Consider the following 14,895-nt stretch of genomic DNA (forward strand, 5'->3'; position numbering starts at 1 on the left):
TCCATGGAGTTACATAGTTGCTGGGCTCTCTGAAACTTTGGCTCCTCGTAGGGGGTCCTAGACATATGCCGTAAAAATAGATTCATGCACACACATAGATACCTGTCCCAGGAAAACTTGAATGCAGGGTGGAGTATGAAGATGTGGGAATTGTGGGGCTACTTTACAGTCTTTTTCTAAGGAAAATTAAAGAAAAATGCACTGCTTAGGAAAATGTATGTCGGAAATCCGAAGTGATCTTAGCCTTTAGCCAGATGTTTTATGTGTGAACGTGATTGTCACTGCATCAGGTTCAGTTGTGTACACCTGGGGTTCAGGGGGTGCTTGGGTAAAAGTCTCTCTACCTTCTATTTTCTCTCCTGTACTGAGATATGGCATCCTCTGAGGGAGGAAATACAATCGGTTAAGTAAGGTAAGGTTTGACTTGGGGAGAGGAGCCTTTCTCTCTTTTCCTGGTGACACTGCCCCTTGAGACCCTCCTCTCAAATTTACTGTCGGCTAAATACTGTCCCACATAGGGACATTTACATTTTAGGAACACATTTTTAAATGAAAGACTCAAGTTCCTTTAAGATTTAATGGAATAGTGGCATTCCAAGCTTCTTAACAGGTAGGATGCAAGATCTTTGGAGGCAAAATAAAGCTGGATGCGAGCCTCCACTGGATAACTCCATAACACACCTCCTTCCTGCATTTCTCCTTTTTCTACCTCCTCCATTCTTCAAGGTCTCTGTGACTCTGTCCTGGGTGAGAAGAAAGCAAGCAAGTAAGAGACCAAAGACTTGGATTAAAAGCAAGATGAGAAGTAAAAAGAGTACCTAGTGATTTAAAGATTTGTTCCCTTCCTAGCCTCCAAAGTGCTTGCCATTCAAGAAGCCTTCATGCCCTCAGCTTTATTGGGAGGGCATCCTGGAATGAACCCCACTGCGCAGGAGAGGCAAGGTGAGGCCTGGGGGCTGGGATGGGAGCCCAGCAGGAAGATGAGAAGGTTCCCATTCCACTCTGTAGTGCTGGTCACTGTCAGATTGGCATCAACCCCCACATCTCCATCTACAAAGTAGGTGGAAGACCCACAACCAACTTGAATTTGAAGTAGAGATATATGCCAGAAAAAAAGAAAAGAATGAAGACCTGGGCAAGTGGGATGTGGCTAAGGCTCAGAAGAAATTTCCTCAGCAAGAGGAAAAAAACACTGACTTCCCCCAAACCAAGCTATGAGTGAAAACTGACACATGCACCGATGACATATACATTTCCCTTAAAGTCTCTTCCTTCTAATTCCCCAAATTTCTCTTTGTGGCTTATATTTTGGGATAGAAATGGAAGCAGAAAGGGCTAATAGGGAATTAAAGGTGGAAAAGGCAAGAGAAATAATAATGTCTGGGTATACAGTTGCTGCCTAGCACCTGCTAGGTGAAGGAATGAGAGAGAAAAGAGGAGGCTGAAAGAGAAAGAGGCTGTGAACTCACTTTATGTTCCTTGAGGGCAGAAACTGTTGTATTCTCCTCTTTTCCCAATTCCAAGTGTTTGCATGGGGCTTTTGCATTTAGAATGCGATTAAATGTTTTTGTTAACTTCGAAGTCAAAGGAGAAACAGAGAGAGAAGGGATGGGTCTAAGGGGGTTGAACTGTTACTCCATCCTAGACCCCATGTGACTGGCTCCCTCCATAAGAGCCCGCTCTGCTCACATTTGTACTTTGGACTTAGATCTAAAACTAAAAGCCTGCCCTTCTTTTTTTTTTTTTTTTTTTTTTGAGACGGAGTCTCGCTCTGTCGCCCAGGCTGGAGTGCAGTGGCACGATCTCGGCTCACTGCAACCTCTGCCTCCGCCTCCAGAGTAGCTGGGACTACAGGCGCCCGCCACCATGCCCGGCTAATTTTTTTTGTATTTTTTAGTAGAGACGGGGTTTCACAGTCTTAGCCAGGATGGTCTTGATCTCCTGACCTCGTGATCCACCCCCCTTGGCCTCCCAAAGGGCTGGGATTACAGGTGTGAGCCACCACGCCCAGCCAAAGCCTGCCCTTCTTCTTATCTATCCATCCTGGTCTCCCCATTTTAGGGGGGCTCTGGTTTGGCTCTTTCTGCCTTGTGGCCATTTGCCTTGGACTCTTAGCTTTGACCTCTAGGACATGAGGTCCTACACCTCATTTTGGCCACTTCCTACCTATCAGGAGGTGACTTGGGCACCATTCTGGACACTAGTCCTTGGCAGGCTCCAGGTTCTCATCTACATGGGTGGAGGTGGGGAGATACTGTGGTCTGTAATGAGCCACTGCCCTCACTCAGTGTGGTGTGGTGAAGAAAATAGGCTTGGACCCATGAGGGCTTGGCTTACAAATGTTCCAACTTGAACCTTGGAAAAAAAATTTTGGTACAGCTGTAACTGTGTCAACGAATGTAGTCCAGTGTCATTTTGGGTCTTGCAGTGTGGCAGGTCACTTGTCCACAGGTACCTGGACCACAGCACTCTCACATCCTGACCAACCACTGCTGGGAAGCTGCCCAGCCCACATGAGCTCCATATTCCAGTCTCAGGAATGGGAAGACAGCACAGTGAGAGATGCCAAGCTCCGGGGCATCCTCTGTGGAATTGACTGCCACTGCAGGCCCAGGCGCCCGTTACTGGGGAAACCAGTGTTCCCTGATGCCACCCCCACTGAGCATCCAGAGACCCTGATGCTATCTATTGCCTACTGCCCAGCTGCTGCTAACTCCGCCAGGACTTGCTCTTTCCCAGTGGAAAATTCAGCAGACAACATTTCTAGAAATGCTCACACAGCCCCCTTGCTACACAGCCCCTTCTACTTTAGAAAGGACCCACTCCTACCCCAGGAAGACTCCAGTGTAGTGACCACAACTCTATTCTGTTTCTCCAGGAAACTGTTCTTAGAAGAGGCCTGAAGAGAAACATGACTGACTAGGTAAGATTAGAGGCTATACCAGATGTTTGGGTCACTCTCTGGAGGTTCCTGGGGCAGCAAGTAGAAGCTCAGCCAGTACTACGCAAGGGGGCTTTTTCCAAGCCCTTTCAGGGGCCATGTCCTGGACAGAAACCTACCCTGAGGAGCCAGAGCACTGCGGGCAGGAGAGGAGGACCTGCCTGGAGAAGTCACATCCAGACATACAGCCCGGCAGCTCCTATGGAAAAGCAGGACTTGAGCAACAGGGGGCAGCAAAGCACAACCGCCTTCTTCAGCTGAGCCCTAGGGCAGCCTTGGGAGGCAGGCAGTGAGGGGCAGGAGAGTTGGCCCCCCTCTCAGGGGACAGCTGCTTGGCTGGCCAGAGGTAATGGCCAAGTTTGAATCTGAAGTAGAGATATATGCCAGAAAAAAAAAAGAAAAGAATGATGCCCTGGGCAAGTGGGATGTGGCTAAGGCTCAGAAGAAATTTCCTCAGCAAGAGTAAAGGGTACACTGACTTCCCCCAACCCAAGTTATGACTGAAAACTGACACATACACCAATGACATATACATTTTCCCTTAAGTCTCTTCCTTCTAATTCCCCAAATTTCTCTTTGTGGCTCATATTTTGGGATAGAAATGGAAGCAGAAAGGGAAGGGCTAAGAAGGAATTAGAGGTAGAAAAGGCAAGAAAAATAATAATGAGAATAAACCAAATAAAGAGAAATAAACCAAGCTTGCCCCTTGTTGGTTCCCTCTCTGAATTCTGAAAAATCCTTGTCACAGTCCACAGGGACCTCTGGAATGAGAAGAACTGAGACAGAGAGGCTGGAGTAAAGGAGCAGCAGACCTCCAGACACATGATGATAGTTACCCTTGCTGATTTCACCCCTTTCTCCGGTCTTACTTCATCCTTGTAGATGGAGCCCCTAAGATACAACACTTCATCTTCTTGTTGGGAAAAAGCTGAGTGTTGGGAAAAAAAGCTGAGGCAGGGCTTGCATGTCTGACATAATGTCCAGGGCTCAGTGCATAAAACCCCTCGTGGCCTCTGGAATGAGTCTAGACTTGCTGGCTCCTTGCTTCTAGCTTAAACTGGAAGAACATGCTCCCTATTATCTCAAGTAGCAGAATATGTTCCATATGCTTCAAAGGAAATGCTAAACTATCACAGCTGTAGATCATGTGCTTGCCCTTTTGACCCACACATTCTCACCACCTGTTTCTTTGTTTGACCACCAATAAATAGTCTGGGCTTCCAGAGCTCAGGGCCTTCACAGCCTCCATACTTGCGTTGGCCACCTGGACCCACTTTCTCTCTCAAACTGTCTTTTCTCTTTCCTTTGACTCTGCCAGACTTCGTTGCCCCAAGGCCTGGTGTTGGATCTGATCACCCCAACATTCCTGGCTGCCCAACGTGGGGCGACAAAGGCCCTGGTGAAGGAACACTAGAGCATGTGAAAGCAGGGGATGCATTGTCAAAGGACACCCAAGGATGACTAAAGGAAGCTTGGTGGGAAAGCTGAGGGCTCGGAAGAACCAGGGTAACAACAGGACAAAGTGAAAGCAAATATTCTGCTTATTTAAGTTTCTTAAGGCATTTATTATGAAGAGTGGGGGTGAAAGTTAGTACTCAGAATTTGTTATCACTCTTTAGTACGGTAAAGGAGTTTTGCCCATGGTTCCTGGAACAAGGGACTATGGAGTTGGATGAATGGGAGATAATTGGCAGAGATTTTAAAAAGGCGTATAAAGATGGAGCAAAAATTCCAGTTTTTTTTGGTCAATGTGAGTGATAATAAAGGCAGCTTTTGAGCCATTTCAAACAGATGATGAGGTAGATTCAGATGAGGAAGAGGAGGACGAGTGTAAAGAACTAATTTCAGATTCTGAATGTGAGGAACAGAAACCGGAGGAAATTAAAGAAAGGGAAACTGAAAGAAGTATGTTTTACTAGCCCGTTGGCTCCACCTGCTGAATTAAGTGAATGGCCACCTCTTCTCTCTCCCATTAATGGGCGAGAAAATGAATTAGCTGAAAAACACCACTCCTGTAGTTGCAACATTAAAACCTGGAGCAATTGGTGGTGCTATACAAAATTCTATTCAAAAAGCTAGAGCCGAGGGAGACCTTGAAGTATGGCAATTTCCCATTACTATAATCCAGCAAGGAGGGAAGGAATTCAAGCAAGCCATTACTCTGAATACGTTAAGGCTTGCGATGGCATTGGAGGTAACTTACATAAGGCTACTCTTTCAGCTCAGGCTATGGCTGGATTAAGAGTAGGAAAGAATATGCCCCATTTCTCAGGCTCTTGTTCCAATTGTCGGCAATTTGGACACAAAAAAGGAATGTAGAAAAGGAAATCAAAAGGCAAGAACTACTACCGTCAATCAACAGAAAAGCCCTGGTGTATGCCCCCATTGTAAAAAAGGCAATCACTGGGCAAATCAGTGTCGTTCTAAAGATGGACAACCTCTTTCAGGAAATGGGAAGAGTGGCCCACCTCAGGCCCCTCAACAAACCGAGGCATACCCGGCACAGCCAGTGCCCTCACAAGCGTACAACAATTGTCCCCTGCCACAGCAGGCAGTGTTGCCATAGACCTTTGCAGCACAATTACCATCTCCCTGTTTCCTGGGGAGCTGCCAAAAAAGGTCCCTACGGGAGTTAGAGGACGCTTACCCTCAGGAACAGTTGGTCTATTACTTGGAAGGTCTAGTCTAAATTTGAAAGGTGTTGCTGTGCATACAGGAATAATTGACTCTGATTATACCAGAGAAATTCAATTAGTTATTAGTTCCTCAACTCTGTGGTCTGCCTCCCCAGGAGAAAGAATTGCTCAGTTGCTGCTGCTACCCTAAACAAAACTAGGAAGCAGCACAGTGAAAGAACAGGCGACTTTGGTAGTACTAATCCTGCAGGAAAGGCTGTATATTGGGTTAATCAAGTGTCTGACAAAAGACCTATTTGCATAGTGACTATTTAGGGAAAGGATTTTGAAGGACTAGTAGATACTGGAGCTGATGTCTCTATTATTGCTCTAAATCAATGACCCCGACACTGGCCCAAACAAAAGGCTTCCATGGGTATCATTGGCGTAGGAACCGCCTCAGAGGTTTTTCACAGTTCCTTGATTTTACCATGTCAAGGACTGGATGGCCAGGAAGGGACAATTCAGTCTATTATTACACCTATTCCTGTCAATTTATGGGGAAGAGACTTATTGCAACAATGGGATGCTGAAATATCTATTCCTATGGATCAATATAGTAATAATAGTAGACAAATGATGAGAAATATGGGATATCGACTTGGAGAAGGACCAGGAATATAAGACACTGCATATGTAATTGCATTTAGCTTTATTAACATTAAAATTTTTAAATTTACAAAAAGATCAACCCATAACTGCAGTGAAACAACACCTAACAGGACAAAAGGAAAATAAAAAGGCTGGACAAGATACATGGTGGAGGAATGCACATACAAAGAGCTGGGAAAAAGGAAAGATAATTATATGGGGAAGAAGATTTGCTTGTGTCTCTCCAGGTGACAATCAGGTGCCTGTGTGGGTGCCCACCAAACATCTGAAGATCTATCATGAGCCACAGCATCTAGCGGACCCACCTGTACAGTGCAAATTGAAGGTTTGAGAAGCCTCCATTTGCTTTCTCTGTGCCTTCTATTAGAAGGGGCCTGTTTCTCATTATCAGTGGAAAGTTCTACCTCATGGAGATGAACGAACCGTGTGGGTGCAATCCCCATAACATGGGGACAGATCAAGAAAACCGCACAGGAAGCTGAGAAACTGCTGGAGCGCCAGGGTTTTACCTACAGATGCTTAACGGACCAATGCTTTCTGACTGAGTGCCTCTCTACCCTGAATACAAGAGACCCTAATAGTTAGGCAGGAGTATCATTGCCCCCATTCAGCATGGACCTTCATCCTGAAACCCCTAGGATTAAGGGTCCTCTTGTAAAAGGGAAAGGGGAGATACGTGGGAAGCATTCAAACCAGAGCGACTCCATTTTGAATAAGGGCTAAGAACAATGAAGTTGGATCACCAACTGGCAATCAAAGGCTGCACAGCCTGCAATTGCCTTGCTCAATTAATTTAAAAACAAAAAGAGGCCACCTTTTATGCTAGTAATAATGATAGCTGTGGCGGTTTTACAAAAAAGAGAAGGGGAAAATGTTGGGAAAAAGCTGAGTGTTGGGAAAAAAGCTGAGGCAGGGTTTGCATGTCTGACATAATGTCCAGGGCTCGGCGCATAAAACCCCTCGTGGCCTCTGGAATGGGTCTAGACTTGCTGGCTCCTTGCTTCTAGCTTAAACTGGAAAAACATGCTCCCCATTATCTCAAGTAGGAGAATATATTCCATATGCTTCAAAGGAAATGCTAAACTTTCACAGCTGTAGATCATGCACTTGCCCTTTCGACCCCCACATTCTCACCACCTGTTTGATCGCCAATAAATAGTCTGGGCTTCCAGAGCTCAGGGCCTTCACAGCCTCCATACTTGCGTTAGCCCACTTGATCCGTTTTCTCTCTCAAACTGTGTTTTCTCATTCCTTTGACTCCGCCAGACTTCGTCACCACCAAGGCCTGGTGTTGGATCTGATCACCCCAACATTCTTTTTTTGGTACCAGTCACCACAGTCTCACTCCTAAACACCTTACTTGCCCCCCATCCAGACGGCACCAGCTTTGTCAGGCATCTGCGTCTCCACATGCATACCCACCAGTTCTCCAATAACCACCTAAAGGGAAGGCCAGACCCATTCTACCACTTGGGTTCTTGGGAAAGATTTGCCCTCTCACCCGCAATGGGCCTGATCCAACTCTCCAGGAGAAGTCATCTATAACAACTCTACTCCTCTCTCCTGCTGGATCGCCCCTTCTCTCCCTTGCTCTCTCTTTTTACCCCTGCCACAGAAAACCTGGCTTCCTTCCTCACCCAAATCCCCAGAGTTCTGGTCAACACCTCTTATTTGCATATAAATATTCTCTCTTCTACCTCTCCACACATCATAGCTCAAATCTGGGACAGATGCACATCTTTAGATGAGGGGGGCTAAAATAAAAGCCAGGAAGCACTCAATTAAATTTCTGTCTTCAGGCACTTGTTTGTCTGTTTCGTTTGTTTGTTCTTTTCCCCTGGAAGGTTGATTCCTATCTGACCCACAGTATGGTACCATCAGCCAGTATGGTACAAAGTGCTTATTCCACTTAGCTCGTTGCATTTCAAAGCCAAGTGTGCCCTGACTACCAAGCATGTCCAAAGCCCATGGTGTAAGGAAGTCTCCTTGGACAGCACAAAGGGAATCCTCCCCAAGAAAAACGAAGACCCTTCCACCATGAGTACCCCCTTAAGAAGATACCACCACCTCCTCCATTCTACTCTCACCCCACTCAGGGTTCCCCAGCTGTTTTCATTCTGCAGATCTGTTGCTTTGTACCTGTGCAGCAAGGCAATCAGATGAAAATCACCCATAAAGAAATAAAAGGCAGGGACCCAAGCATAGGAGGATACATTGGCTGAAGTACAGGTGAGAAGTTGACCCCTGACCCAGGAGATCTTGAGAGAAGTGAGCCACAGCAGATTCAGAATATACCTCTAGATGGCCTCTAGAGGGGACAGGAGGTCACTCTAGTCTTGCTGAGGCTGATTCTAAAAGAAAGAGCTTTTGGCTGAACCTACCCAGCACATTCATCTGTGAGGTGGGTGGCATCAATAGAGGGCAGGGTTGGCAAGAGTGGAGCCGCCACCAGGTGTCCCACCTGGACATGACTTATCCAATGACAGCTAGTGCACATAGTGATGAGCTCAAGATCTAAAAATCTAATCTAAAAATAGGACTTTAGGAATGAGCAAGAAAATTTATTAGTCCTTCCCTTCTTGCCTATCTTGTTCTTCCCAGCACCCCTGGACAAGCCCAGTCAAAACAGTGGAAAATATATCCTTTAAGAAAAAACAACCGAGGCTCCTCAGTCAAGGGAGAAGAAAGCTAAACATTGCTGCGGGGTTCACCCTATTGTCTCCCACAGGCATTACTAACGCAATGCGAACCTTGATACCTGTGTTCTCTGGCATATCAGGCAGGTCTGCTTGGAATTGGCCCGGAAACAGAGCCCACTTGAATTTGGGGCTTCTTCACACCAGGCTGTCTCACATGCTACAAGTGCCACTTCTGAAGCTGTGTGGGCCTCGTCAGCACTCCTGGGCAGCCACAGCTCAGACATTGGTATCGCTGCTGTGCAGAAGGCAGCCTCTCCCATGCAGGCTTTGTCTCCTGGGCCCAAACACCTTTCCCCCTCCCTCTGCCCTGGCCAGGTCTCCATCCTACCCTCAAATGCCCTCACCTTCCCTCATGCCCTCCAACCAGTTGTTCAGTTAAGACCCCCAAAGTAATTATTCAACTGAGTCCTGGTTTTCTTCAATGGTCTGGGGCTAACACTATAAAATGGAACAGAAGTACCACCTCCTTGGTGTCTGACCTGAAGCAGTCCCAGGTTGCCAGCCAATTTTATTGGCAACTAAAGTCTATGTGCATCTTACAGCTGAGTTGAAGGTGGAATGTTCAAAAGCTCAATGCCTCAGTGGAAAAATCAATGGGTAAATAAATCTGATATGCATAAGCTAAAGAGTATTACTGGAGTAAAATATGAGAATAGAGAGCTGCTTTTGTCTAATACTTTCAAAGCACCATGAGTTTGACTAAATTTCTTAAGGCACTGGAGTCTCTATTTTCCCCAGTCTAGATCTCCTACAGCAATCACAAACCTCTCAAGAGTAAGGACCATGTCTTACTCATCTTCCTATCCCTGGCCTGCTGGTGTTGGTAGCGCTCAGCAGTTGTGCAGTGATTTTTGAATGAATGAAACCACTTACCCTTTGCCTCCTGTCCCCAGCCCCTACCATCCCTGGCCCTCATCAGGTCCTGACAGCTGAGTTACCTGTGTGCTCAATCCTGCCATACTCCCAGCCCAATCTGGAGACAGGAATTCTTGTTCAAGCTGCCACCGCTCTGCCCACTGTCCAAAGCAACTCACCGCCCACCCCCCATAGTCCACCCCTGGGTTGGCCACTAGTGTTCCACAGCTGCTACTTGAGTCACAGCTTCTCCACCATCCCACACCCTTTGGGGGTTCCTGAAACCTGGAGTCTTGCACCTCAGGTTTCACCACCGCGTTCCTGCTTTATCTAAGGGAGTTTCCTCATTTCAGATAAGCAGTCTGGTAAGTGCTCCATCCTCTCACCCTTTGGCATGCTCCTGTGGCCCACTACAGAGAAACTCTCCTCTCAGCCTCCTCCTTTGTTCTTGTCCCCACTCACTCTCCCATCCTTGCTTTTTCCTAAAAATCAGAGTCCAGATCTGACCTTCTGGCCCCACAAGCCTGCTCCTTGTTAAACGCAGACTGTTCTCAGGCATGACAGCTGTGATCTGGGCTCTGCCTTGCTCCTCTGGTGAGACACCCTTCCCCCATATCCTACTGTCCATTACAGAATTGCATGGGGGATGGCTGTGCCCTTTGCCCTCCCAGCCGGCCCCACCCATAGCGACTAAACCAACACCGATGAGACAGCCCTGCCGTCTCCCAGCCTAACTTGCCAAGCTTCATTATGAGCAAAAGATCTGCAATGTGGCAGTGACCTCCCCGCAACATAACTGCATTCTGACCTCCTTCTTGCAGTGCCAAGAGAAATGATGGTGAACTAAGTGCGGGGTGTGGGGTCGTTCTCAAATGCGGTCATTGCTACAGAACTAGGGTTTTTGGTTAGTTACATTCTTTGTGGAAGGACAGGGTGGTGGGTACAGGTCCCTGAGAAGCAGACATGTGGAATTGTTTGAGACAATCCTACTCCCTGTGGTACTCTCTCTATGTATATATTTCAATGAAGGTAATTTACCTCATGCTTTCCTAAATACATAAATCTTTACATTTCAAATGCCTTGTTAGACTGTACTCAAGATTCCAGAGACATTTTAAAATAATTCATTTTCAAATCATAAATTTGGGAAAAGGGGGCCTGGGATAAGCAAGTTGACTGGGCCACTGCTTATGCCATTCCCTGCACAATTCTGGGCATGGAGCAGCTCTCCTAGAGCCCCTGCCCCTGACTCCTGCTCCAGGCTTCACATTCCCAGACCCACACTCTCACCCACAGGGACGTGAACTTGGCTCTGCTTGTCATCATTCTGGGTTTCTTCCCATGGGAGGCTTTTAAACCAACCTGTCTCACATTGGCTGGGTCCTTTGGGGCCTTCTGCAATGCTACAATGGCAGGTGTTTGCCTGCAGCTTCCCACTGTGCCCCCTTTTCTCCCCACTCTCCAGCCAGCCAGGGTTCCTGGGCATCCTCTCCCCACCCCTTGCCAAATAATTTGAGGCAACCTTGTTAATCTTCTCTACAGCTATTTGCGTTTGAAGCCTGTTTGGAGTGAATCAAGGACTGAAAGCTCACCCCGTGAAGGGAATTTTTAATATTTAACCTTGAAGGGTGGGGAGATGAGAGGGGAATGGGATAGAGAGGGAGGGGCTGCGGAAGAGTCTTCTTCCAGCTCCCCAACATCCTACACAGCATTCATGCTACCAGTCCCAGCAGAGGCTGGTGAGGGCCAAGCCTGAACAGCACCCCCAACTTCCCACCATGCCTCTGTCCCCCACTAAATGCCAAGCCTACTACTGAGTGAGTGGAAGTGATATAGCAGGCCTGAAACTGAGGTTGAGTTGCAAAACCATCTTTTGAGTGTGGTCTCCCCTGGGGTCACAGCCCCAGTGAGCCCTCACTTCCCTAACTCCTTAGAGTTTCTATTTAAGATTCTGTTCAGTTTCCCAGGAACTACCTGGGACTGAGGCATTGTGTTTCCCTTTGCACAGTGCCTGGCATATAGTAAGCACTCAGTAAATGTTAGCTATTAATAATAAAAAGAAGAAACCCTGGATAGCATCCATGGGGTGCTTGCATAGATGCTGCTAGGAGCAGCCATGGTGGTGAACAGCAAAGTTCGCAGCACATGGTGGACCATTCATTTACTGTTTCTGAACTGGAGGAAGTTTTGGTTCTTTAAAGTGGAAAAAGAATGCCTTCTGACCACATGATAACAGTAAGAGCCCTTTTTTATTCCTAAGTCTTCAGAAGAGTGAAAAAGGTCTTCCATGAACTGGCTACACATCCTGTTCAATGCCTAAGATGGAGATTGACAACCAAACCTCACCTGTTTTCTGCCTTGGCTGTGAAAATTCCAATTGGCCAGGTGATATAGGGAGCTTTCAGAGGACCTGGCACTTTGTATGGAAAGGGGTAAGTGTAGGGAGGTGTGTCAAATCAATTAAGCAAGTGCTAGTTGCAAGATACATGCCTAAAGCCAGGGAAGAGAAAGATGAAGAGTTGCGGGGCCACTCTCAGAATTAACGTAGAAGCCCAGGACCACTGCATTGCCTTCTTCCTTCCCTCCGAGCGTCATGTTGCTCTATACATAGGGGTTGAGATTTTGCCTCCTTTTCCCAAGACTCTGGACTTCCAACTGGTCCTCTAGTGCTGCCCTGGCTTTTAAGCAGCTTGGCTGGGGCCCAGTCATTGATCCTCTTGCCTAGGATCTTTGCCCTGAGGACCAGAGCCCAATGCCCAAGTACAGGTGAAGCCCCATTTCACGTTGAGCATCATTATGGCCCTAAAGCATTGCCCCAACCTCCAGATTGGAGGCTTTGGGATAGACACGGGCTACCCTGGTTACCCCATCCCATTGGATTCTGTCACTGAGGTCCCAGCATGCCATGTGATTGAGCCATCCTAAGTTTGGCAGAAAACTAGGTTTGAGGCAGATCATTAAAAACCTTGAAAGTAAAGGTATGGAACTGAGAGTGGGGGCACTGGCAGTTTTTGGGTGGGAATATGATCTGAAACATGCTTCAGGCAGTAGTGGCGGGCAGAGAGGATCGGGTAGGCAGAGACACTGGTTGCATGGGCCCAGATGACATCCCTTAATATTGAAAGGACAGGACCAACGTGAGAGGTGTTTCCAGAGAAATGGGCTTGCGGAGGTGTAGAGGAGGAGAACGTACATTATTACAATGAAAAACTAGATGATTCCAAGCCCACTAGAGAGGGGAAATGTTCATGCTAATAAAAAATGGGGAAGGAGACCAGCATTTGACAAGTGCTTATTGTATAATGAGCATTGGTAGCATTCACAGAACATGAGAAAAAAGGACTTCATTTCAAAGGCCACACAGAAAAGTGTACAACTAGGATTCCAACCTAGGTGTATGACTCCAAAGTCTTGATAATTTCTCTAAAGAAGCCGCAGCAAGACCAACGTAGAGAGGGAAGATGACAGCCTTGAACATGTTGAAATGTGGGCATTGAGGACTGGACATAGATGAGACTGGCTGAGATGACTCTGGGAGTCTGTTGCAGAGTGGTTATCATGGAAACCCCACGAGTAGGTCAAATCTCCAACACAGAAGATAATCAGGGAAAAAAGCTCAGGCTAGAACCATGAGCAATACACTCAGCTTAGGCACTAATGAAGAAGCAGAAAAGCAGCCACGAGGGTAGAGGTAACTTGGAGAGGGTCATTTCACTGGAGTCCAAGGAAGAAAGTAGAAAAAAAGGAAAGAGAAGCCATCAGCTTAGAACACTTTACACTGACAAATAGGGTGGGAAAACAAGAAAAGGCTGGCTACTTTAGCAGTCCAACACACTGTGACCTCTCGTCAGTCAGTCACTCAGTCAGTCAGATGCAAGGCAGAGAAGCTATTGAGACAGCAAGTCTGGACTCTTCTTTCAAGAAATTTGGCAGTAAAAGAAAGAGGAGAGACCCAATAAAGGTGGATGAAGGTGAAGGAACTCTCCTTTGGACCACCCTAGCAATCAAATTGGACAGGCAGAGTCACTCGGCTCTCAACCCTGGTGATAGTCAAAGAGAGAAATCATCTCCAACTAGGGTTAATTATTGGCCCTGAACAGACTACACTTTAGTGGCAACCGTTTTATAATGTTTCTCCTTTCAGCCCCAACTCCTTGCTGGTAGTGAGTTTATAACCACCACCAGCCTGCAGAATAATTTATTTCAACACAGTGCTAGGCTCCTGGACATCATCCAGTCCAGTCCTCCACTCCCCACTGCAATGGGATTGACCCAGCATGTGACGACAAGGTGCCTTGTGGATCCCAAATTTATGGAAAGCTTTCAGCATTTTCGCAAACTGGCAATCATCTCTGTCACAGGTTTAGTCTGTCCCTTGGCATATGCTTTTCAACAGTCTTGAGCCTTTGAATTGGGAAGGCAGCTGTCTGGGGAGAACAATGTCAAATAAACCTCAGGGGAAAGCTTCCTTCACTTGCACGGGGGCCAAGGGAGCTGAAATCCTGCCCCTGCTTTCCTGCCAAGCTTTGTATCCATCCAGATGGGCCACCTTTTCCTCAACTGCACAAAGGAGCACAGGGTAGTGGGGGTCCTGCCTATACATTTACACTGGGGGAAGGTCGGGGTCCTTCTTCATGGGCAGAAAGTAGCTTTTTTTTTTTTTTCCAAGAGATGCCATTTCCTTTGACTGGGGTCCTTTAGTGGACACAGGTCTGGTCCCCAAACACCAGGTGCTCTGATTCTCTGCTTGGCATTGAGGGGCATGTCTGGGAGAATATGGATTGAGTGCTCCACTGCCCATGGTGTCTTGGGTAGAAAAGGCCAGCCTCCAGAGGAAGTGACTAAATAAAGCAGGGGGAAGGACCAACACAATTGGCCGAGCTGTGGGAACAAGGAACAAGGCTTAAGAGTTCAGTGCCTTATAATGGACTTTGGGGATTTGGGGGAAAGGGTGGGAGGGGGTGAGGGACAAAATAAAACACATTGGGTACGGTGCACACTGCTTGGGTGATAGGTGCGCCAAAATATCAGAAATCACCACTAAAGAACTTGTTCATGTAACCAAACACCACCTGTTCCCCAAAAACCTATTAAAATATTAATAAGTAAAAGA

At 47.0% G+C, this 14,895-nt stretch overlaps 1 protein-coding gene and 1 long non-coding RNA gene across 7 annotated transcripts in view, besides 2 other annotated features; one reads left to right on the forward strand and one right to left on the reverse strand.

Moving 5' to 3' along the window:
- MIR4713HG (MIR4713 host gene) overlaps positions 1–14,895 on the forward strand; it is a 256,425-nt gene that overhangs the window by 240,897 nt on the left and 633 nt on the right. The window lies entirely within an intron of this gene.
- Positions 1–14,895, reverse strand: part of CYP19A1 (cytochrome P450 family 19 subfamily A member 1) — a 130,540-nt gene that overhangs the window by 70,328 nt on the left and 45,317 nt on the right. The window contains exon 1 of one of the 6 annotated variants that reach the window (NM_001347250.2): positions 9,866–9,954. The exons of 4 other annotated variants lie outside the window; for them this stretch is intronic. The gene's annotated coding sequence lies outside the window, so the exon portion shown is untranslated. Of the gene's footprint in view, positions 1–3,777; positions 3,879–9,865; positions 9,955–14,895 lie in introns of those variants that run through there. One more of the 6 variants, NM_001347251.2, reaches the window with a different exon arrangement.
- Positions 3,798–4,177: a promoter, noted in NCBI's record as "-299 to +81 promoter". NCBI's record gives the evidence for it as "EXISTENCE:reporter gene assay evidence [ECO:0000049][PMID:12351690]".
- Positions 4,058–4,077: a protein binding site, noted in NCBI's record as "GATA (-196/-191) site". NCBI's record gives its function as "important for promoter activity" and the evidence as "EXISTENCE:protein binding evidence [ECO:0000024][PMID:12351690]".

This window comes from Homo sapiens, chromosome 15 (genome assembly GCF_000001405.40).
Source record: "Homo sapiens chromosome 15, GRCh38.p14 Primary Assembly".
NCBI lineage: Eukaryota > Metazoa > Chordata > Mammalia > Primates > Hominidae > Homo > Homo sapiens.